The sequence below is a fragment of the Homo sapiens genome, chromosome 1 (assembly GCF_000001405.40).
Source record: "Homo sapiens chromosome 1, GRCh38.p14 Primary Assembly".
Taxonomy (NCBI): domain Eukaryota; kingdom Metazoa; phylum Chordata; class Mammalia; order Primates; family Hominidae; genus Homo; species Homo sapiens.
In genome coordinates, this window is record NC_000001.11 from 48,705,209 (window position 1) to 48,729,841 (window position 24,633).

The window sequence follows — 24,633 nt, forward strand, 5'->3', positions numbered from 1 at the left end:
AAAATAAAAAACAGTTTATTAAAAAAATAGAGAAAACATTAAGAGCAAAAAATGTATAAAAAAGAGAAAGTATACAATTGGGTGACAAAGTCAAACAGCAGATATGAAATGATGGTAAACAGTCTGAATTATTCTATTAGGGGACAAAAATTCCCAAGCTAAAATGAAAACATTAAATTATGTGCAACTTACAAGAGATAAATCTCATAAAAATTGTTAACATTTATTGCATACTTGCCATGTGTATTGCATTGTACTAAGCATTTCACATACATTGTCTCATCTAATTCTCCCAATAAACATATGAGGCAGAAATATCATTACCCTTGGGTCTCAGGTTTGGCAACTGCAGCATAGGGGGCTAAGTAACTTGCCCAGGTCAAACAGCTAACTTATAGTAGAAATGAGATTTAAATCCAGTCTGATCTCAGAGCACAACTTCTTAAACATTACCTTCTTCTGCATCTCAGGCAAAATTACACAGTAATGTTAAAAATTAAACTTCCAAAATGTTTTAGGCACACCCAATTAAATAGAAAGCAGAGGTGACAATGTTAATCACAAAGCAGAATTTGAGGCAAAATTATTTAACAAGGAAGAGATTGATGGTGTTAAGTTGATAAAAAGCAAAATTTATATTGAAGATTGAACAGTGATGAACCTATTGCACCCAACAAAACATTCCAATTTAAAGCAATAAATATTAGAAATTCAGGGAGAAAGCAACAGAAATTGTAGCAGGAGGTTACATGGCATACATAGAGAACAATAAAAAGTGAATTTGGTTGTTTCCAGTTTCAGACATTCCTACTTAGGCAATTAAAAAGTATATTTAAAAAGCAAAAAAAGAGCAACACAAAACTGATGATGTGCTTAACTCCAGGGTAAACAAAGTGATAGGGCATTGAGAAATATGTTGGTAATGTTCTAATTCTGGGGTTGGGTAGTGAGTTTGCAAGTGTTCATTATATGATTATGCTTTATAACTTATGGACCTATATTATTTTATATGTATTAGATATTTTAAAAGATGAAGAAAAATGCCAAAAGGAAACTTAAGTAAGGAAAAAGATTTGAAAAATAATAAAGTTTACTTAATGACATGTAACAATTTCTACTCTACAAACATAAATGAATTTGGTAAATTCCAAATGATAAAAAGATATACAATTTTCATTCTCAAAATATAACTGCTAAAACCAGAAATAAGGAACAGTGTTTCAACAACAGGAATAGCTGCAGCTAACTGCCACATGGAAATTGAAATCACTTTTCTAAAAAATATTATGTCAAAGAATAAAAAAATACAACTACAAAATATTTAGAAAATAATGAAAATAAGAAAACAATTTATCAAACTAATGGAAAGCTGCAAGTACATAATTTGAAAAAGAACCAAAAAGAAACCTGTGGAAAGCAGTAGGAAAGAAGTAGTAAAAATGTAAATAAAAAAAGTTAGAAAACAGAAAAATAGTAAATTTGACGACAAAATCCAAGAGCTAACTCCATAAATTTTTGTTAAATAAATGAATGCATCAATGACTAAATGATGAGTGCATTAATAAATGAAGTGACTATCTGGGGTTCCCACATCTGAATCCAGAGCTGTTACCTGGATATGGTATCCAAGCTGTCTATGCTCTGAGGGTCAGCCTCTGACATCCGGAATAGTCACTTAAAGAGAAAACTTTGAGCCATCTGGTCATGTTCCTGAGGTCGTTCTTGAGTGAAGCACCCCAGCTAGGAAATCAGTCATCTCCCAGGCTCTCCTTCCTGTCCTGAACTTGCCTAAAGAGTTAACTTGGCTGGGAGTGGTGGCCCATGCCTGTAATCCCAGCACTTTGGGAGGCTGAGGCAGATGGATGGCTTGAGTCCGGGAGTTCGAGACCAGCCTGGGTAACATGGTGAAACCCCATCTTTACTAAAAATACAAAAATTAGCTGGGCATGATGGAGAGTGCCTCTAGTCCCAGATACTTGGGAGGCTGAGGTGGGAGGGTCGCTTGAGCCCAGGAGGCGGAGGTTGCAGTGAGCTAAGATCATGCCACTGCACTCCAGCCTGGGTGACAGAGTGAGACCCTATATCCAAAACAACAACAACAACAACAACAAAAACAGAAAAGAAAAAGACTTAAGTCTTGGCCTAGTAAGAAGAAATTAACCAGCACTGGGCAATTGTGGGAAATGGCAGCTCAGAGCCCCACTCAGAGCCATAACAGCATTGCCAAGGGATGAGAAGAGAGAGCTTCCATTGACACTCTGCCATGTGCTTGGGCTAATCAACACATGCCTTGGGCATCATTTTCCAGAAAGAATTTCTGGGCTGCTCTTGGGCATCCCAGTGCTCTGTCAAAATAGCCTCTTGAATTATAAAACCACCAGTGACAAAGACTAATCTTCAGAAAAACTCCCAGAGGCTCAGTGTGCTTTGTGGTGAAGTCTATCATTACATAAGCCCAAGCTCCATGGGCTGGGAATTGGGTGTTTCTCTACAGCGGCTGATGGGAACTGCCAATGTGAGGTCTCAGGTCATGAAGTCCACACCAGACTCTGGCAGTGACACACTTCAGCTGGTGTTTAAGTAAGGGCCATGCCAAGCTGTCTATCAGGTTCTCACATGCCTGACCGGGGTGATTTCTGTTGTCTCATTTGAGTTTGGGGCCACATTTTTGGCCCCTATAAATATTTTACTTTGTGACTCTGAGAGTGATGCTCTCTGAATGGAAAGGGGCAGGGGAGGAAAAGAACATTGGGTGGGCACTTTCCATGTCTTAAGTGTTTCCTACACATTCACTCATTTAACCCCGTGATGTGGGCAGTATTGTTGCCATTTTTCAGATGTGGAAACTGAGGCTTAGAGAGAGGTGAAAGGATTTTCCAAGGTAACATGGGATTTTCCAGGGTCTTGGATAAAAATCACACATTTGTGTTCTTTCACAACCGAATCCAGAGTGAGGGTTACCTTTGGTGGGAAAACTGCCTGGATCTTCCAGCCCACACCCAGGCTCAAAGAGTTGCCCTCTGCTCAGCCTGCTACCTCAGGTGCCTCTCTGTGCATGGGCCAGATAACACCCAGGGCAGGTGATGTGAGCAATGAAGGAGAGCTGGGGCTGGAAGGGTTGTGTCAGGGACTGCAGGGACCCTGAAGAGGGATTGACCATTGTGAATGAGAGGAGCCGTTGGGGCTTGATGAACCACAATGATTCTGAGACAAGGCAGGGATGTGGGAGGGCATCTCAGGCAGAGGGCAGCATATTCAAGGGCCCAGAGGCACAGTGAGAAGGACAGTGGGATGACAGGGAGAGCCATGGTTGGGTGGGTTTCTAGGAAGGGCCCTAGAGAAGATCCCTGCTCTAAAACACTTCATTCTGCCAGCAATGGCACCTACTGAAATCTTCTAGGCAGGGAGGTCATGCTTACAGCCTTGTTTTCAAGGGATTATCTGGGCTACCAAGTGTGGGACAGAATGGAAGGGCTGAGCCTAAAGCTCATTCCCTTCTTTCAGGAAGAAAAGCCTCCAAAATACGATAGCCTCTGAGAGGTAACCTGCCACCACTAGTGACACAGAAAATAAGTCTCTCTGGTGCCAGTGACTTTTCCCCACTGGCCACCTCCCTCTGCCTCCCTTGGCCTCCCTGTCTGGGACCCAATCAGGGGATGGCTGCTCCAGCCTTTCCTGCATACTCAGTCCTGGGGAGGCTGCAAAGTCAGGCAGGACCAGGGTGAGAAAGTTGGAAGGGAAGAGGGGAAGGATGGCCACATATTGCCTGAGGACAAAGACACAGGCCTGGCTGGACTCTTATCTCCTTCTCACTGACTGGCCGAGTGGCCTCATGGAAGTCCCTTCTCCTCTCCGGCCTCTGGGTCTCTATCACTAAAAGGAAGGGCTCTTACTTGGATAAGGTTCCCCTCCACAGTGATAGCTACTATGCTATCAGTGACTCTCTGGAGTGCAGCTCCAAGCCTGCTTCACTGCCACTTCACCTCCGCCTTTCCTTTCACGAAGTTCAACGAAATGCCTATTCTTGTACTAGGCTCTGAGCTAGGCTTTGTGGCTACAAAGACAGATAAAAATACTACTTGTTTACCAAAGTGTTTGTATATGTTGTTAAGTGAGAAAAGCAGGCTACTCAAGAGAATGTCATATTTATGTGTACATATCTTGTGAGTGTGTGTATACAACAGATATGCTACACACCTACACACCGAATAGAAAACCAAAAACACATACACTAATCTAAATAGTTATTTGAGAGGCAGTGATATTTCTTTATAACTTTGGGCTTCCCCACCCCCCAAATATTCTTGCATTGCACTTTACTTTTCAAATTAAATAGCAACAGCTAACCTTTAGTGAGCACTTACTATTTGCCAGGCATTATTATTATTATTATTATTATTATTATTATTTTGAGATGGAATCTTGCTCTGTCACCCAGGCTGGAGTGCAGTGGCATGATCTCAGCTCACTGCAAGGTCTGCCTTCCAGGTTCACGCCATTCTCTGGCCTCAGCCTCCTGAGTATCTGGGACTACAGGCACCCGCCACCACGCCTGGCTAATTTTTTTGTATTTTTAGTAGAGACGGGGTTTCACCGTGTTAGCCGGGATGGTCTCGATCTCCTGACCTCGTGATCCACCCACCTTGGCCTCCCAAAGTGCTGGGATTACAGGCGTGAGCCACCATGCCCGGCCTGCCAGGCATTATTTTAAGAGCTTTGAATAATTAACCAATTGAATCTTTGCAAGAACCCCATGAAATAGGTCCTGTTGTACACAGACCCACTTTACGGATGAGGAACCAGAGGCACAGAGAGATTAAATAATGTTGCCAAGGTCAAATAGCTCCTAGGGTGATGAAGACAGCATTCAAGTCTCCAACAGTGGCAATCCGACTGGAAAGACTGAACTTTCACTGTCACCACAGGGCCTCTCACAAGCAGCAGTTGCAACTATGAAGAAATGCGGTTCCCCTGCCTTGGAGGGAGGAGAAATATGAACACTCATTCACATCAACAGGGAGGGCACTGAGGTTTACCTGAGGCACAGTGGGGTTGTGTGGGACTCTGAGCTCTGAAGTTCCCCTGGGAAGGGCTTCTTACTGTACTTACAGTGCCATGGAGGATGTATTCACTGGAGGAAACTAACTTTCCCAGCTGAGAAAGAAGCAGAGAGAAAAGCCTAAAGGTGGGAACTGTCTGGGGCTGCCCAAAGAAATGCAGGAGCCAGAGCGTGGGGTGGTTTGCTTGTGGAGAGGAAGGCGGGCATGAGAGGGAAGGCTCACAGGTGATCACATGCCAGATACAAAGGCCAGATTGGATACCAGTTGAGCTAAGAGGCCAGGCTTTGTCCTAGTACAGCAGGGAGCCATGGAAGGTTTACCAGCAGGAGAAAGACTGGTTAGACTGGATTTAAGGGTCCTTGTTAGGGGAACCTCCATTCATTCTCCATCCCTGCTCCCCTCTGTCCCTCTTTTCTTTCAGTGTGGAGGCAGGGAAACCAGGAGCCTTCCTGTTCAACATGCTTTCATACCTTGCCTATAGGCCCTGCGCTGGGAAGACCTAAAGATGAGTAAGACTGGGTTCTCCCTACCCCATTACAGATTTTACAACCAGATATAAAACCATTATTAGGACATAAGGCAGCTCTTTGAAAGATGGCTGGAATTCGCCACCCCACCAGCCTACCTATGGAGCTTCTGCACATCCGTTAAGATCCAGCTCAGACATTACCTCCCCTAGGAAGCCTCCAGTGACAAACCTCTCACATGGATTTCTCCATCTCTCCTCTTTGGGACACGCCTCACTCCTGGCACTGTGCATCCTTGTCTGTCTGTCTGCCCCTACTGCTCACCCCTGATCACCCTTGACTGGAGGTCCTCCAGGGCCTGACCGCAGGTGATCCACCTCCAGGTCCCAGGGTCCAGCTCCAGCCCAGCCCATGGTCAGCATCCACAGAGTCTACTGACTGGAGGATGACAAAGGCTGGGCTGCACTCTTGGGGGGCTGTGGAGGAGCAGGGATCAGCAAAGGAGGAGAGCCCTGAGGTTCAGAGATGCTGGAAAATGCTACATATTGGAGGTGAGACTAGCTTGGGCCTTGAGTGATGCTACTACCAACTGAACAAGTGCTTTAATGGCCTCTTATGCTTTTGGGGTGAGCCTGTCAGTTCCCATCTGTGTGAGTTTGTGGGTCCCAGCATTCCTTGTCTTACCAGGGAAGTCATTAACCTTTGGTGTTAAATGTGACTTGTCTGCATACAATCAGGGAGATAAGCACCAGGCACCGCTATGTCAGGAAAGTCCCATTTGACATTCTGTCTGTTCCTGCTAATTAACAGGCCCAAAGAGCACACGGATGGGCTTATCCCAGCAATTGCTGCTCACCCCCGGGGCTGGATCTGCACGGTGTTGCCTGCCTGGGTCGAGTATGGAACCAACCCTCTCCCCAGCCCACCGAGCTCCAAAGCAAGCTGTGCCCTTGCCCCTCCATTCCTGTCACCCCTCTCTCACTCCCTCTCTCCCTTCCCTTTCCCCATAATTTCTCCCTCTCTCCCTTCCCTTTCCCCATAATTTCTCTGAGAGTCCTTATTTCCTCTTGCCTGGACCCCAGAAGCAGCACCCTAACAATCTTCTTGCTTCCAGCCTGTCCTGTTCCAATCCTCCACGCTGAAGCCAGAATGAACTTTCTAAAATGCAAACTGGAGTACATCCTCCTTCCTGGAAACCTTTCCACAGCAACCCAAGGCTCTTGAGGATGTGGCTCCCATTTTGTTCTCCAACCTCCTTTTCCTGAACCACCTCCTTTTCTCAGTCATACTCGCTCTGGCCCCATCTGTGCTACTCCCTCCTCTTCTTTGCTTTTCTGCTTCCTCCTTTCTCTCTGAATCCTAAAAGCTCCAATCCAACTCAAGGCTCCCCTTCTCCCCCCAGGAAGGGGCCCATTCCCTTTCCTGAGGCTCTGAAGCAAGCTTTAGTGTGTGTGGGCTTTCCACACATATCCCTTCCTTCTTCTGTTCCACAAACCTGTGTTGAGAAGTACTGTGGGCCAGGCACTGTGCTGGTCACACTCAACCATCCTTCCCTCCAATCCTCAACACCACGCTGGGAGGAGGGAGACAGGCTCTTCAGGACCTGGCCCTTTTCTAACCTGCTTGCCCCACTCTTTGCTGCTTTTTTCCCCACGGGTAGGACCCTGAGCATATCATTTCCCCTCTCTGGCACTCAGTTTCATCCTTAGCAAAATGAGGCCTTTACCTCTCAATGTTGTTGTGAATTAAAAGTAATAATAATAATAGTGATAATAATAACATAGAGCTCTAAACACAGGCCGGATGCTGTTCTGTGTGCTTTATATATATCAGCTCCTTACCCCCACAGTGTGGTCTGCAGGGTTAAGGGACTTGCTCAGCTGCAGGCCTAGCACCCAGGAAGCATCCAGTAGCTGTTGGCATCACTGGACAGTCACACCTGGCCTAGAGGAGGCGTGTGAGATGGGAATACACCAGGCACGTTCTGGGGATGGCACACAGATGAGCCTGGCTGGAGCTCAGGGCTCATGTTTGATAAAAGATTAATGAAATTATCAAATTGACCTTGTCAGTGTCTGCTCAATCCAATTACATAGTTGTGGCCCCCGTGAATGGGGTTAAAACAGGAGTGCACATGAGAGACACCAAAACAGCAGCTATGAGGGAGATGGCGGCCACCCAGGAAACCCTGGAGGGAAGTCAGTGCTGCCCATGTACCAGTACCTGTCTAAGAACTGCTTGTCACTCCCAGGGGTGCAGCATCCTGTTACTTTGGAGAGACAGCAGCTGAGCATCCACTAGACAGGGATGCTTGGTACCGTCAACTGATGCCCACACAGTGCTGGGCTCTGTGCTGGCACAAGACTCATGGTGAGCAAGACACAGTCCCTGCTCTTGAGCAGTTCTTGTCTGGTAGGTGAGACAGGGAGGGAAACAAAGAGAATTCAGCAAAGTGAGCAGTGCCCTGATTGATGGCAACCCAGAGAAGGCACACAGTGATCAACCTGGACTCAGGGAGTTTCCAGAAAGATGGTTCCTGGGCTGAGAAGTAACCCAGGAGCTGGCCTAGAATAGAGAGAGATGGGGAGGGTGGGAGAAGGGAGAGCCATTCTTAGGGGACAGCCAGGTTTCAGTCAGGAGGACTATGAAGCAATGCTGTGTAAAGCAGCTGAGGTTGCGGAGTTCATTAGTGGTGGAAAAGGTTGGGGTGGGGGTGCTGCGTCCGCAGTGGGAAGCACAGAGCAGCTCTGGCACTGGAGAGGAGAGGTTAGGGCCCATTGGGGTCACAGGATGAAGGGTATGGTGAGTTCTGTGAGGGCAGTTTTCCAGAGAATGAGCCCTAGCAGTCCTCTGCGTACGGGGCACTCAGCCCTCCCTGGAACAGTCTGCAGAGCCTGGATCATGTGGACATTTGAGGAAGACAGAGCATCAACTACAGCTTGACCAATTCAAGGCTCTAAGGAGGACCCTAAGGAAGAGGCTAGGTGCAGAGCTGCTCCCCTCTCTGCTTGGCCAGTAGCACTTAGTCTTAGCATCAGGGCCTGCCTGCTATTCCCTCTCATCTGGGATAATGTTTCCTGGAATCTGTCAGCTGAATAGCCCTTTTCAGTTTACTGAGTTTACTTACATCCCTTTGACAACTGGATCTGCAACATAAGACTGTGCAATAGATATCTTCATTCTTCCCATTTTACAGCTGAGGAAACTGAGGCCTAAGGACACCAAATGCCCCTACCCAAGGCTTGCTCATAATGGAAGTACGACTCATGTGTATTTATTCTGAATTTAAATCTTGAGTACATCTCATTACTATAACATGATCTTTAGAGAAAGAAGGTCGAAAGCTGGATGTGTTGGCATGAGTCGTCAGTGGAGATGGACAGACCCTGAGAGGCCCTCACTTCATAGGCCATCACCTGTCTTACTTTGAGAGACAATCCTGCCAACTGTATTTCTAGGGCTCAATGGGGGCCCCAAAACATGAGAACTACATTTGGATGTTGCTTTCAAAGTAACTCATGTTTGGCCAAGGATTCCTATCAGAACAAATATTTCTCCATGGCCCCTCCACAGTGCCACCCCAGGGAGGACAAATCTTCAGTCCCCTCCCAGCCAATGATATCACTGTCCACCCACTCAGCCAAGCCACAAACCGTGGAGTCATCACTGGGTCTTCCTTTTCTCACCTTCTACTTCTAATCAGCAAACCATGCTGGTTTTAACCCAAATATAGAATTCTGCTTTCATCTGTCCCATCCACCCCTTCAATCTCTCGGCCCCTGCCTTTGCTCCAGCCTTCCACATTTCTTGCCGGACTATTAAGCCCCCTCGTTTCTGTTCTTCCTAACTCCAGTCTCACCCCTTCCCATTCATCATCTACGATTCCACCAGAGTGGTCCTTCTGAAACACCAATCTGACCATGCCGCTTCCTGGCTCAACACTCTTCAATGACTCCTTGTTGCCACCTCAAAGTGAAGTCCAGCTCCTTAGCTAGCCTATGAGGCCTGTGTGCCCCAGCAGGTCCTAGCCCCGACCACCTGTGCAGGTCCTCCAGCAGGCCCTGCTTGGAACCCATGCTCCAGACCCTACACTGAAGCTCTCATATTGCTGAAGGGACACTGAGATTTTTTAGTCGCTCATTCATCGATTCAACTTTTCAGCCCCTATGATATGCTAGACAATTTTCTAGGCCTTGCTCTTAGGAAACTTACAGTTTAGCTGAAGATGGAATGAGACAGTATTCAGATAAACACAACAGGATGAGAGGAAAATAAAGCAAATAAAGCAGAGGAAAAGGACGAGAGAGTACCCTGAGGTGGGGTGGGTGCCGGTTCAGACAATGTGGACAAGGACAACCTTTCTGAAGAGGAAGACAGAAACAAAGAACTGAAGGAAGTGGGGGTAGCCTGAGGACTGCTGCAGGGAGAGGACTTGATAAGCACATACCTTGCCTCATACTGCTCCCTCTGCCTGTAATGCCACCCCATACCCCTCCTCGGGCCCAGCTCTCACCTGAGAATCAGCACAGCAGTTGCCTCCCCTGGGACACTCAAGGAGAACCAACCAGTCCTTCTTGATGTCCCTGAGTGTCCCACATGGCTTCAATCCAGCCCAGTAACACCCATCCCTTCAATCATTCATTCATTCATTTCTTGAACAAAAACTGCTTGACTAGTCCCTGGGTGCCAGGCCCTGTGCTATGCGTTGGGATGCATCTGTCACTTCCCCCTGCCCTGTGCCCACGAGCTCTTGGGAGGCAAGAGGGACTTTCTCTGCTCTACCCCATTATCCTGGTGCTAGTGCAGCACCTAGCCCAGAATGGCTTCAGGTGAGTATTTGCTGAGTGAATAAACATTTGAGATCATTTTATTGAAATACTTCAGAGTAAATTTGGAGACAGGCACTCCTCTACTCAAGAGTAATTTAATAACCACAAATGCCTTTAACACAGTGGGGAGGGAAAAAAATGTGTTTCCTTTATTGCTGCTGTTAAAATAAATGGCATTTTAAATAAATATAGCATATAGAATGTGGCCACATGACGAAATAAATAAATATCTGGTGAAATTATGCATTGCAAAGCAGACTTTTCTGGTCTTTTGGTTATTAAATTTAATCACTTTTGAGCTGTGCCTCTACTCTTTTTTTCCTAGAGGCAGGTATGCTTTTGATTAAAATGTGGGCCCCAGAGCATTTTCACAGGGGGAAGGGTGAGCTACATCCCTTGAGGAACTGCAGTGGAGCAAGCCAACGGGATAACAGGGCCAAGGCAACAGCCATGATTTGCTTCTAACTTGATGGACATGTTTATCCCCAGATAGAGTGCACAGCAGTCACGGGGCATATGGAAATCTTGCAATTAAAGCAAACTCTAATTAGAGACTACATATTTAAAATACAAAGGAAGCTTGGAGTGGCAGCCACTCTGGTTGGCTCTGAAACATGATTATCCTACTTCAGTCCCTGCACTGACTGGATTACGAGGAGGGAAACGCATCATGTTGCCACACATGGTTTCTTGCGGTTGAGGAGGGGGAGATCTCTGACTTCCCAGTCCATGAAGTTTTGGAATCCAACAGACTTGGATTTGAATCCTGGCTCTGCCCATTATTACCCCACTGGCCTCAGCGTCCACATCTTCATAATGGGAATGATGACAACTATATCATAGGGCCAAAGAAAGATCAAGTAAAGGCTTTGTGGGGACTCAGTTCAGGGAGTTTATTGACCAGTTAGGTGACTTACATTGCATTTGCCCCTGCCCCCATCCATCCAGCTCAAGAGTGTGCCTTGCTTAAGAGCCATAGGGGAGAGACTGGGAGGGATGAATTCTTATTATGTCATTCATCGTGCCCATGGGGCTGAAGGAACAGGCTTCTTCTCGACATTTGTAAGTACCTGAGCAATCAATTTTATGTGTCCACAAGGGGTGGGAACCTGGGATAAGTTGTTTCTCCTTAATTCAAATGGTCCTCAGGAGCAAGGCGGTGGGTCAGTCCCGGGTCAGTGGAAGGCTTGGGGCGAAGGTACTGATAGCAACTCTGGTTAGCTCTGGGATTCTGGCCTAGAGCTGGCATTTCCTGAGCTTGGGCTGGGGTCAAGAGATGAATTTGGAACTGTCCCTGCCTTCAATAAAAAGTCACAATCTAGTCAGGAAGACAGGTAAGAAGGGGCACAGAAGTGCGTAGCACCAACTCACATTCCTATATTTTACAGTTCAAAAAGTGCCTTCAACCGATCCCCGATTTAATCCTCTCAAGAGCCTGTGAGGGAACAGTGACCCGCTTCTGACTTTCAGCTTCAGGCCACGTCTGTATTTCAGCTACACAGAAGAGCAGGCGCGGATAGTGCAGTGCAGTGCCCCATCCCCACACACCCGGTACCCTCCCAGGTAGAATAAATCAGAACCTTTTTGCTTTTTGCCTTTTTTTCTTCTGGCCTCTTTTTGGTTTATTTGTCTTAAACACTTAAAACATTACTGAAGCCTCTTTTGCACTCTTCCCCACACCACTCCTGATAAGGACTATGCCAAAGTTGGCATGTGTCCTTCCTGCCTGAGTGTTTATACTCTGACTGTGCATGTATATGTCTATAAACAATCCATAATAGGTTTTGCACATTTAAAATTTTACATACATAGTCACAGACTCTGTTTCACTCTGCCACTTGCTTTCTTACTATACATTATGATTTTCAGATTTATTTATGCTGATACATACTCCTCTAGTTCATTTTTTTTGTTTGCTGTATTGACATTTCACTCTATGATGAAAGTCAATGTGTGTGCGTGTGTGTGTGCGCGCGTGCATGCAGGTAATTTTCCTGTTGGTGGGCATTGGCTTCCACTTTTCCACTTTTTCTACCATCCTGCATTGCTTTACATGGGAAGGAGGATTCAAGGTGAATCTTGAAATGGCTAGAATCCAACCAGTGGAAGAGAAACACTTCTCTTTGCCATATAGCACAGGGCCTGGCACCTAGCTGGCTCTCAGTCATTGCTGATTACTAGAGGCATTGAGGCTTTGATGAAAAGAACAGTGGACCTGGTCTCAGAAGGACTTGCTTTTGAATCTTGACCCTCTCCCTTTTTAGCTGTGTGACACTGGGCAAATAATCTAACCTCTCTGGGCTACGGTATCTTCATCAGGAGAAATATAGACTATAATGCTAAGTCCCAAATACTCTTGATATGATTAAATGTATGAATTATTTGCTGTAGCTTCTGACATACAGGAGTTCCACAAGGCTAACTGAATAATTTCCTGATTCTAGGCTGGGGAAAGGATGTGGGGAAAGCATCGGCATGCTCCTGTTGGCTGCCCTTCTCACTCAAAATGAACGAGGGAATGAAAGAAAAAGAGAAAAGAAGAAAACAAGGCACCTTATAAGCATAATTGAAAACCTAGGACAGCAAAACTTCCCTCCAAATCTGGCCATAGTTCCATTCCATCTGTGGTTTTGATTGGCCAACACTGGAAATCCCAGTAGGGTCTACTTGGCACTGGACTGGGCTCTCTGAAGGGCAGCCCCACCCTGCAAAGCCTCCACCTGCCCTCCTGGGCCCTGTGGAGGGCAGCAACAGGCTGGGCTACACAGTGTTAAATCTCTTCCTCTCCAAGAGATTGGAGCCAACAAGGCTTTCTGCTTAAATGGCCTATAAACACCTCCCAAAGCTCCCTAGCTCAGAAAAGTGCATGAATCAGCAAAATGAAAATAATTTAAAGACCCACTGGAAAAAAGAACCCCAGATTCTTTTCTCCACCAGCAATGACAGCCTCTCAGTAGTGACTGTCATTCTTCATATCCAGGGCCAGGTGCTTCCCACTAGTTTTGGAAAAGAATGTATCAGGGGCTGGAATCTGCTTCCTGGTGGGAGGGAGAGGTGGGGGCAGAGGAAGAAGGAAGACTAAAAATCTACTTCCCCACCTGGAGTGCTCTGAGGTTTCCCAACCCTGATTTGGGTCATGGGATGCTGTCAGGGCCACACCACTTGTGGAGGTTGTGGAGTAGGGACCTTTGCACACATATTATAATTGAGCCTGTATAACTGAGGCTCATAGGAAGGAAGTGACCAGCCCACAGGCTCCCACAGGTGGAGTGTGACACCCTAACTAAGTGCTCATGCTCCCTGCTTCTATCACTCTGATGGGAGGGCAGTGCCTGTTAGTGAGCTCCGACTACATACCTGCCGTGGGATGGGCACTTTAGCAACAGCCTTAAATGTTGACATTGTTATTCTTGTACTGAACGTAATACATCAGCTCCTTGTTGCTAATAAATCTCAGGATTCAGACGGTTGTATGACTTAGCCAAGGTCATGTTCCTGAAACCCACACTCTTTTACTCCACATCCCATGCTGTTCCCACAGTATTAAGGAGGTGGCTCAGGAAAGACCTGACAGAGACATGTACAAACCTGAAATGCGCCCCCTTCCCCCAAACACGTTTGATCTCCCCTCTGGACATAGGGTGGATGCTGTGTCTGACACACCTCCATGGGCTGAGTGGTTCCAGGGTCCAGGAGCTGCATGAAGGAGGTGCTCCTCTGGACATAGTTGCCCTGGGCACTCCCCATCTGCACCATTGCATTGTGGTGCTCATAGTCAGGTTCCCACCTGGCAGTGCCAGCACTTAAGGAGGAAGGGGGGTGGGCATCTGCCCCTCATCATCTCTCACCTGAGTTATTCCCCCAATAGCCTTCTCAACTCCTCCCTCTCCCTCCAAACCATTCACCATTCTGATGCCAGCATCATTTTTCTAAGGCACAAAGCCCCACCCTTCAGTGTGTCCATGGTCTTCAGAGTCTAGCAGCTCAGCCTGGAACCAAGGCCCTCCATGACTGGGCCTCTACCCACCTCTCCAGCCTCATCTCCCACTACCAGCTTCACTTTCATACCTTGAAACATCTGAACTCATCCTATCCTCTTCCACCTCTTGCCTATTGCTCACAATAATTATAAACACTTATGTAGTGCTTTCTATGTGCTAGGTATAGTTATAAGTGCATTTTAGATATTGGCTTAATGCTCACAGAAACATGAAGCCTTCCATTTTATGGAAGAGGAAACTGAGTCCCAAACCAAATAAGTAACTTGCCTGAGGTCACAGAGCTGGTAAGCGGTGAAGCCCATAGTCACATTCTGACAGTGAGAGGTCAGAGTTCTCAAACTTAACTATGGCCAAATCCTTTACTTCTTTCTTGACTTGGTGATGGCCTATCAAACTTCAACCCATGAGAACAAGAGAAGAAGGCCTCATGACCTCCTCATGGAGGGCTCCCTTGATCCCTCAAGGCCTTATACCCCTAGGCGGAAATAACTTTTTTGGTATTTATTTCCCATAGCATTTCCTCACCAGGAACCAGGCTTCTAGGGAGAGGTCCATGCCATCCATACTGGCTCTGTACTGGCCCTGGGGACTCAGAGATCAACACAGGGTGGTCCCTACCTTAAAGGGCTTAGTCCAGGGAGAAAGACAGACACACAATGATGGGACAGCTTGATGAGGCTCTACCAGAGGTCACAAGAGGTGCCACAGAGCAGGGAGAAGGGTTCCAACCCAGGCTGGAGATGGAGCACAAAAGATCTCCTGGAAGGAGGAGAAGAAGCAGGTCATAGAGCAGAGGAGGCAGGAGAAGTTTCAGATGGAAAAAACAGCTTATGACAATGTTGAGAGATCTAAGGTAGCATCTAGCATGATCATTAAGACACCAGACATTGGAGTCACACAGGCTTAGATGCCAGTTCAGGCTCCTCCAGATCACAGCTGTGCCATCTTGGGCAAATTACTCAACCTCATTAAGTCAGTTTCCTCATTTGTGAAATGCAAATGGTAATAGTACCTGCTTCACAGGTTTGTGTGAGAATGAAAAAGTGAACAGTGCTACCACATAGTAAATGTTCAATAAATATTAGTTAATTAAAAAACATCACCATAACTATATCTCTTGCACCTAGCACAGTGTAGGGGTTCAGCAAACATGTATAGAGATGAATTAACACAGTCCTGCCTGCAGTTCACTGACAGCCTTGTGAGAAGAGGGAGCTAAATTAATATTACAATACAATCCTCTGAGTGTTAAGGTACAGGGAAGACTGGGGCTGGGAATGAAGGATGGAAGAAGATTTGGAAAACTAGAGAAGGGAGGGAGTCCTTTAGGAATAGATGGTAACAGGCTCTTAGAGGAAATGATATTTAATCTGAGCCTTCAAGCCCAGAGAGGATAGTTTTTTTTTTTTTCTCCCAAGGTTAATGATCTAAAAGAGGGACAAGGATGAGTTAGAGCCCCAGACTGAGCAGGGCCAAGCAGCTGAAGGTAGAGAGGCAGAGGAGCTGGGGGAAAGTGTAAAGCTTGAGGGTGCTCCACAGGGGAAGGAGAGTGTGGATAGTGCAAGGCCATTTATAACTGGGCTGACATATGGCTGATTCCAGAAAATCATTTAAATTGAGTCACTCTTTTCCCAGAGGTGGGAGTAGGGTAAGGTTTATGTGAGGTGGAATTAGGGTATAGTGTAAGAGACCCTCACAGTCCCTGTGATCACTGCAATTCAGACCCTAAAGTCTCCAGAAATGATCTCAACATGGAAACCACATTTCTGCTGAGTGCTGGCCATAGCTGCAGGTGGCCATGAATGAGAAATGCTGAGGAAATCAATGGCAGGGAACCAAGGACAATGATGCAGGGAATGCCACCTTGACATTTGTTCCCTGTGTGGCTTCTCTGATGGCTGCTGCAACAAGGCCGGTGGGGTCCAGTGTGACTGTTGGCAATACGGGCTCACTAAGGATTTCTGGGTAAACTTTAGGTGCCTATTCCAGGGGTGAGGAGGGTCCCTGGCCCGGACTCCTCACAGAACAATCAGTGTGGGGGTGACCCAGGCCCTGGATATTTATTACCTTCCTCTCCCCATTTCAGCACTGCCCAGATCAGGGACCCCTGTGGTCTGACACTAGGCAGTGGCCAAGGCCTGGGCTGCCTGAGCTCAGCAGGCACAGAGCTGTCTTTCCAGCACTGGGACTGAGTTGTGGTGACCCCAGGTTTGTCTCTGCTCCGTTGCTCTCCCTCCATCTGTAGGGTCCTTCACTGTCATCCAGGCCTGGATTGGGCCCCAGTCTCCTAATAGGTCTCTGACTTTTGTCATTTATTCATTCAATAACTTTTTAATGAGTGTGCACTATATGCCAGGTTTTGGGAATACAGCAGTGAACAAAACAGAAACCAAGAGGCTAAAGTGGATGGTGAATGGAATTATGTTACAGTTTGTGAATTATTCAGATAATTCACATAAGAAGAACAGAGAAATTATTCAGATAAGAGGAACAGAGAGAGAGAAAATTGACAACTTGGCATAAGTACTGGTCAATAAATCTGGTTATTGTTTGTTTATTTGGGGTGGGTGGGTGGGTGGGCATTGGTGAATAGGGAGGGACTGGGGGGTCTTTTGTATTTTAAACACAACTTGTAAAGAAGATCTCGACCAGCTGAAATGTTGGGCTGAAACCAGTAAGATGAAATGGAACAGGGACGAATGCAAAGTCCTGTATTTCATTTAAGAAATATACTTGAAAATTTTACAAAATTAAAGGATGGGGAGGACTAAAGAGCTGTTAAGATTAAAAAGGAGAGGAAAATAAGAACAAAAAGATTTCACATTTACTGAAGGCTGGAACTGGGGTCGAGTGGGGACTGCAGGTGTGGCACAGTGGCAGGTCAGTATGACTACCCAACAACTGCATAATGAGTAGGGGGACTGGGGTTGGGAGACTTTAAGAAACTTGTCCTATTTCCTCTAATCTAATAAATAGTGAATGCAGGGTCTCAATTCAGTGTCAGTCTCTCTGGCTCCAAAACTGATGCTCTTTCCATTATAACACGGTAAACTGAAGGGACAAGTATCGTGTTAGCCAAAAAGAGAGAATAGAGGACTGGTAACATTTCCCTCACCACATACTGTCAATATTACCTTACTGAGCCTTATTGGCTCAATATGAGACAATTCTATTGCTAAAGATGCTAATTCGAAGTCGGAGAGTAAGAGGTGACATCTTGCTGACCAAACTCTTCCTGGAGCACCATGTCCAGTCCTGAGTCTCATCTACAGGGGCAGATCCGTAAAAGAGCAACCAGGATGGTCACAGTTCTCAGGATTAGGGAACTAAGATACCGAATGCCTAGAATACTTTACTCACATTATCTTACTTAACTCTTGACATAATCCTGTGAGATAGATATTACTATTCCCGTTATTAAAATGAGAAAACTGAAGCTCGGAGAGGTTAAGAATTTGTTTAAGGTCACACACCAAGTGGAAGAAACAGGATTTGAACACATGGCTGTCTAAATCCACGCTCCCCACTCTTTCCCATGTAGCCTGCCACACATGCAAAATGGTGAAGCAGAATTTGAGCTATTTATTAGTTGGTGAGGAGATATGACAGCCACCTTCAACTCTACAAAGGGCTGTGAGTGGAAACATTCTGTGTGGCTTGAAAGGGAAGAATTTGAATGACTTTGAAAGTCTCAGGGAGGTAGATTTTTAGCTCAATGGAATAATATTTTACTGATGGCAATAACTGGATGGACTCTTGGGTGGGAATATGAATTCCTTGTGCTTGGAGGTATTCAAGCATGGTTTGGAATGGCATTTGCTTATAATGGGGAGGAGATTCGGGTGGAAAACCTCAAAGTTCATTTTTGATCCTTAGATTCCATGAGCCTATGAAGCTGCCTGGCAGAAAGGGATCAATCTCTTCAAAAGAAGTGAAAATATCTATTGGTTTGTCTATTTGCAGACATACAGGCGAAAATTATATGCCCAAGTTAACACATTGGTCCATAAGAAAACTAAACACAGAAAATGAAATGGATTCTGCTGAAACTACTTACAGGTTTTAAAGTTTTCCTTTTCTACGAAGAAGTAGCCAAACTCTGGAGAGATATGCAGTCTTGGCTATAATAAAAGAAAATATAACAAGGGTGCTATTTTTCACCTATTAAGTGGGCAAAATAATTTAAAAAGTGGTCACACCCATTATATATATCAAGAGTGATAAAATGTCATTCCTTTTGACCCAGGTACAACCACTTAAGAGAAAACACTGTGAAACAGAAAAATCTTCATCTGGGTTTAATTTATAAAGAGTCTAAAAATCCAAGGAAGTGTAAATGGGCCACTTGGGTGGCAGTGAGTAGGGGCTGAGGTAGGTGAGGGGAGCTGGAAGCCGAGGAGCGAGCTAGTCAGCATGCACGGGGGAAAGCCCCCATGTATGGAGAACTATGGGATAAGCAGAAGATGTCCAGAGAGCCAAAGGTGGGTATGAAAGCCAAGGTCACTGCATACGGGGTCAGCAGGTTAGGAGGAGCACACTTCAGTAAGGAATGAACAGGTGTAGGGAGAGAAGAGAGGAGAGGAAGCCCAACATTAACACTGACAACCATTTAGCCCCTCTCTTGGGGGGCACATTAATTACACTCTCATTACTCCTAATAACCCCATAACTAGACCTTATTTCCTCCATTTTGCAGATGAAGAAGCTGGTGTTAAGAAAGATGAAGTAACTTGCTTCATTTGTTGGTAAGTGCTAGAGTTGGGAACTAAACTCGCATGCATCTGCCTCCTAACTCTAGCTCACTTTACCCCTGTGTGTGATGAAAAGTGTGCAGCCAGGCCCTTCACAAACCCCTGATCTGTGGGTTAAGGCTTGGGCAGCTGACCAGGTGGTTTACTCAATTGCAGCTTTATGTTGGTCCACTTTGTGGATGTTAGAATTGATAGTTATGAATTTTATGGAGCAATGGTGAAACATGTTAAATGCAAAGGGAAGGATACAAACCTAACTATGTGCTATAATCATAGGTATGGAAAATACATATTTTCACCCTTGGAAAAAGACTACATGAGATACATCAGAGTGCTTTCAGCAGTGCAGTTTGGGGGGTATTTCCTATTTTTGGCAATAATTTCTATAAAGTAGTTTTTCTCTATAATTACAAAAAAAATCGCAAGTTAGAAATGCCTACAGGAAGCATACAAGCACCTAAAAAGTCACCAATATACTTTCCTAAGCAAGGAAATAAAGCCAAGCCCCATCTTTCTGTTTCATCTGGTATCAGAAAACTTGTTGCCAGGGCTTCTGAAGACAGTGCCCAAACCTCATTGATTCAGGTCCTGCCAATTCAGTATTGACAGTCTTCTTCTACACAACTCACTGGCCTGGCACAAGAATCCAAAGACTCTAAGTGTACAAGTGAGGGAAAAATCATTTGAGCCTAGACAGAAAGTCACCTTCTGATTGTGTGCAGCTGAACAGCATTTGGTGGCCATGAAGAGGAATTCTAAACAGGTGTTAGGGCAGAGTCTCAGTTACTTAAGAAGAAATTTACTCTCAATGTCAAATATCCTCAGGCACATTAGAAAGACCATCAGTTTGTTGGCTCCCCATCCATTTCTTTTTAATATAGGGAATACTCTTATCCTTTATTTTAATGAAGGTCTTCTAATGACTTTAACTGATATTTTTCGAAAGTGACATCTGTGTTAAAATACACATTCCCAGCCTTATCCCAGACCTACCGAATCAGGCTCTCCAAGCCAAAGCAGAGGAAATTTGTATTTTAAGCACCTCAGCCAATTCTTAAGATTGGGCAAGTTTGTGAAACACTCTACCAAACAAAATGAATTTGAGTTTTTATATGTATTTGAATGTAATAAAACTGCAAATGTTTATAAGCAGTACTATCATTCCCAGTCCCTCCAAATGGCCTGAATTAATAAGATTGTTTTCCATTGACTAATACTTAGGTTGGGTTTCCCCTAAACATGTCCTGAGATTACGTGACTAGATTCTCAGCCTAGACCACAATTTTCCACTCATCTTTCAGGGAAGAGGTAAAAGGGCAGGTTTTTCACAGACCTGAGTTCTGATCCAGGTCCACTGCTGACAGACAGCTCCAGGACCTTGAGCAAGAAATTATTTAACCTTTTTTGAGCCCATTTCTTCATTTGTATGGGTGTAAGAATGATGGTCTTGCCCTCATATTACAATAACAAGGCACCATGTACACAACAGAGGCCAAACCGTCTCAGCCTAATTAGTGTGTGAAGCCTCCCGATTACATCAGAATTGGCTCTTACAAGCATGATTCCTTGTTGCATCTACTTCTGATTTCATTCTGCCTTCTACGCTAAGGATAATAACGAACATCTGCAAGGGTCTTTTTTATTTATAGAGCCCTTTTTTCAGATATTATCTACATTACTCTCCACAACAACCCTGAATTAGGGATCATTCTCTCCACACCAGAAGAAACAAGGCCCAGAGGTCAAGTGACCTGCTTGGAAGTGGCGAATCCAGGATTTAAACCCAGATCCCATAATCATTAACTGCCCTGTTCTCTTGAATATATGCATCAAACATTACGCAAAGCACTTTCAAAAATATCATAGCATTTTTATTGTAGTTATTTCCACAACTATTCCCCCCTTAACCTAAAAGCACTTGTAAAGCAGGTACCATATTTTATTAGTCTTTAAGGAGAAATGCAGGGCCTCTGGGTGTTAGTGTCTTTGTTACTCACAGAGAGAAAAGGGGATGAGCTCAACAATGATGCAAAGTTTTTTTCCAGCATCTCACGCAATCCACACAACTCATGCCTGAGCTTCCCCATGCCCTTAAATGAACATATCTTATCAAATATTTATTGAACATCTATCTACTAAGTGTCAGGAACTTTACTTTGTGAAATGAGTTAACATACTATGTTAAACACTTAGAAAAGCCTTGGCACATATTAACTATCTGTTATTATTAATATTATTAAGTTATCCACACGGCCTATGAGGTAGGCATTATTTTCCTCCTTATTACTGATAAGAACTCTGAGAATAAGTTTAGTTAACTGAAAGACAATTAAAATAAAAGTTCTCAAAGTGGCAGCCACCTCTCCTACTTACTCCAGAGACCCTGAGCTTTTGGTTACAGACTACCAATTAATGGATGACCCATTAGAGAAACCAGAGGCCACTTTTCTAACCAACAATAACAGCCAATAATCAGAAATGAGTAACAGTTGCCAACATTTATTGAACACTTATCTCTAATCCTTGTAGCACCTCTGAAAGGTAGCTATTATCTCCTTTTTGTGAAATAGAAAATGGAAACTCAGAGAGGACAGGTTAAGCCCAAAGCAGGCAGGGGAGCCAGGCTTGGAATCTAGACGCATCGGCCCAAAGCCCTTGCCCTTTCTAATATGCCATGCATACTTCACAGGCATTACAGAAAGCAAAGTGCAAATCAACAGGAAGTTCTAATGTGGTTTGCCAGAATGTGTGCCAGGCACCTTAGAGACTCAGTAACAGAATAAAGAATGAGATAAAAATTATGTAACTTGAAAGAACATTTGAGATACAAGATAGGATGAAAGAACCGATACCAGGTAACATTGCCCCTAGTTCCTGAATGTAACCCTATACTCATCTAACATTATCACCCCGTCTTCACCCCTTTACAAAGATGGATTCAAATTATTAGGGAAGCTGAATCTCAGATCACCTTGAGTGAGAAAGGTGACTGGTCCAAGATCTGGCCTTTGAAGTCAGAGAAAGAGATCTGCTTTTGAGACAGCCCTTCAGATCTGTAGAAAGCAACCACATCTCTTAGGAATTTTCTCTCCTTCAGCCGGAATATTCCTTCCCTGAAAGGAAGGGCATGCCAGGCGGCACAACACTCTGGTCACCCCCACTGTATATGTAATATACTAAAGAAATGAGGATAAAGACTATCTACATCAAAGAATTAATGAAAATTTATTATAGAACAAAATAGAGCAACAAAGAAGTCCTTGGATAGTAAAAATATCCATTCAAACCCCAGTCAAGTGACAGGCAACTCAGGCAACCTTATCCCCCTCCAAGAAGAGTGTTTTCCCCATTCCCAGAAGGACACCAGTGCCAGGCTGCTCCTGAGTCTCAGCAAAGCCATCTGTCGTCTTTGGAGTGTCCACATTCAGAACAAGCCGCTGACCCCAGAACCCGATGGATCCCTGCACACACACCACCATGCACGGTGGGGTCTGATTTGGACGGCACCATCGCTCGCAAATCACATGCCACACAAGGAAAACACGAAAGCTTTATGAAAAATCCAAAGTTTATTGCAAATTGTATTTTGCTTCCCTTCGTTCTTCATTTTTACAGGATTTATTGATATCCATGATTTTTTCACAGATGTACTTGTTGACTTTGGAGAGTCTCTGTGCAATTTCAGTTTCATCCACAGTTTCTTGTGCTATTCTGTCATACAAACACTCTAGACGGGGAGAAGAAACAAGGCCAAGGATTAATGGTGAATTCAAGTAAAAATCTTTTAAGGAGGGTAAAAGAAAATGTACCTCCCAACATACTTCCCAAATACCAGCTTATGTATCTGGCATAGCTATATTTTAAAATTTGCATCATAGAATGTACTTAGAAAAGAGCAGATATACACTGTAAATGTACTCTTTAAAAGTAATGATAAAGTGTCCACGTGTCCACCACTCAGTGGAGCAGGATACTATTGGTTCCTCCCAAGCACCTGCAGGCCCCTCCCTAATTCTTTCCTCTCCACCAGAGATAACCATTCTCCTGAACTTTTGCCTTTTTTTTTTTCTTTTAGTGTTAACACATGTATGTATCCTTAAATAAAATAGTTTATTTTCCATTTTCAATCTTTTTATAAATGTGCCCACTCTATCATTCTGACTTGCTTTTTTTTTTTTTTTTACTCAAATGTTATAGTTTTGAGATTTACTCATGAAAAATACATTTGTAGGTCATTCATTTTCACTGATGAGTAGTGTTCTATTGTATGGCTCTATCACAATTTGTTTTATCCATTTTATTGTCAATGGATACTTGGTTTTGCAATTAAAAACACTCTGGCACATGCCTCTGGGGAAGACATGAAAGAAATTCTCCAGTATCAGCCTAGGCGTGGACTTGCTGAATGTTAAGATGTGTGCATATTCAACTTTATTAGGTGATGCCTGGTAAATTGCTTTCCAAAGTGGTTGTGCTGACTGGCACTCCTAGCAACAGTGTATGCAAGTAGTACTGGTTGCCCCATTTCAATAGTACTTGACATTGTCACATTATTAAGGTTCTGACAACCTGGTGGGTGTGAAGTAGTGTCTCACTGCTGTGATTACTAATGAGGCTCAGTACGGCCACTCTCTTACTGAGTCCACCATTTGCTGTGATAAAGCAAAAAGCCAGCTCCAGACAAGGTCTGGCTGGAGCCCGACTTCAATTGACTGCCTAGCCTGGGGACCTGGTGCAACTCACTGCCCTAGATTCCTCACTTCATAAATAAGGATAACAAACTACAGAGCATTTTTTTTTAATGCTGCCATGAGGCATGTGGGATAAACATGTTGCCTTTTTCAAGTTGTAAGGAATACTACACCTGTATGGGGTTGTTCTGAGTATTTTATGTATTTACAACTATTAATTCCTAGGGCCTAACACAGTGTTTGGCACAGTGGCAAACTTAAGTAAACATATGTTAAATAACTGAATAAATGCTTTTCCAGGGATACCTAAGGGAACACAAATATTCTGGATGGAAGAGGACTAGGGCGTGGGTGGTGAATGTACCACGGGAATGTGTAATAATGGGCAAAACCCTTGGGGACTCTTTGAGCCTGAGTTTTCTCAACTAAATAGGAATGACAATTCAACCTTGAGGAATTGCTATGGAGAACAAGCAAAATCTTGTCATTACCAAACCAGCTCAGAACAGGGAATTGTCTCAGAGATGCAGAATATCAACACTAGAGGGGATTGTGAAGACTAACTTGTGCTAACCTTTCCACTAACATATGAGAAGCCCAGGCCTGGAGAAAGGGAGTAGGTATGGGGCAGAATCCACTGCTACCTGCCCATATGCTGAGCCCTTCCCTGGGCACAGAGCCAGCCAGTCTGCCTCCTGTTGCCATCCATGCTGCAGGTGCACCTGCTATAAGCATTCTTTCTCTGAGGCACCCTTTTCTTTCCACCGAGAAGGGTTTTGCAAAGAGAAGCCTTTAAAAGCTTTTAATTGACCTCGACCAGTCACTTCCTGACTA

General features: G+C 44.7%; 2 protein-coding genes across 17 annotated transcripts in view, besides 1 other annotated feature; both read right to left on the reverse strand.

Annotated features, from left to right (window-relative positions):
• The window catches only part of AGBL4 (AGBL carboxypeptidase 4), a 1,501,444-nt gene that overhangs the window by 182,698 nt on the left and 1,294,113 nt on the right, over positions 1–24,633 (reverse strand). The window lies entirely within an intron of this gene.
• Positions 3,691–4,047: a silencer, noted in NCBI's record as "fragment chr1:49174571-49174927 (GRCh37/hg19 assembly coordinates)". NCBI's record gives its function as "represses an EF-1alpha promoter that drives an FKBP-Casp9 reporter gene in an ReSE screen in HepG2 liver carcinoma cells {active_cell/tissue: HepG2}" and the evidence as "EXISTENCE:reporter gene assay evidence [ECO:0000049][PMID:32094911]".
• Positions 22,311–24,633, reverse strand: part of BEND5 (BEN domain containing 5) — a 49,373-nt gene continuing 47,050 nt past the window's right edge. For all 9 annotated transcript variants that reach the window (NR_146232.2, NM_001349793.2, NM_024603.4 and 6 more), the window contains one exon: positions 22,311–22,835. Coding sequence is in view for 8 of the 9 variants with exons in the window: in NM_001349793.2 (NP_001336722.1) it covers positions 22,678–22,835 (158 nt within the window). In the remaining variant the exon portion in view is untranslated. The remainder of the gene's footprint in view (positions 22,836–24,633) is intronic.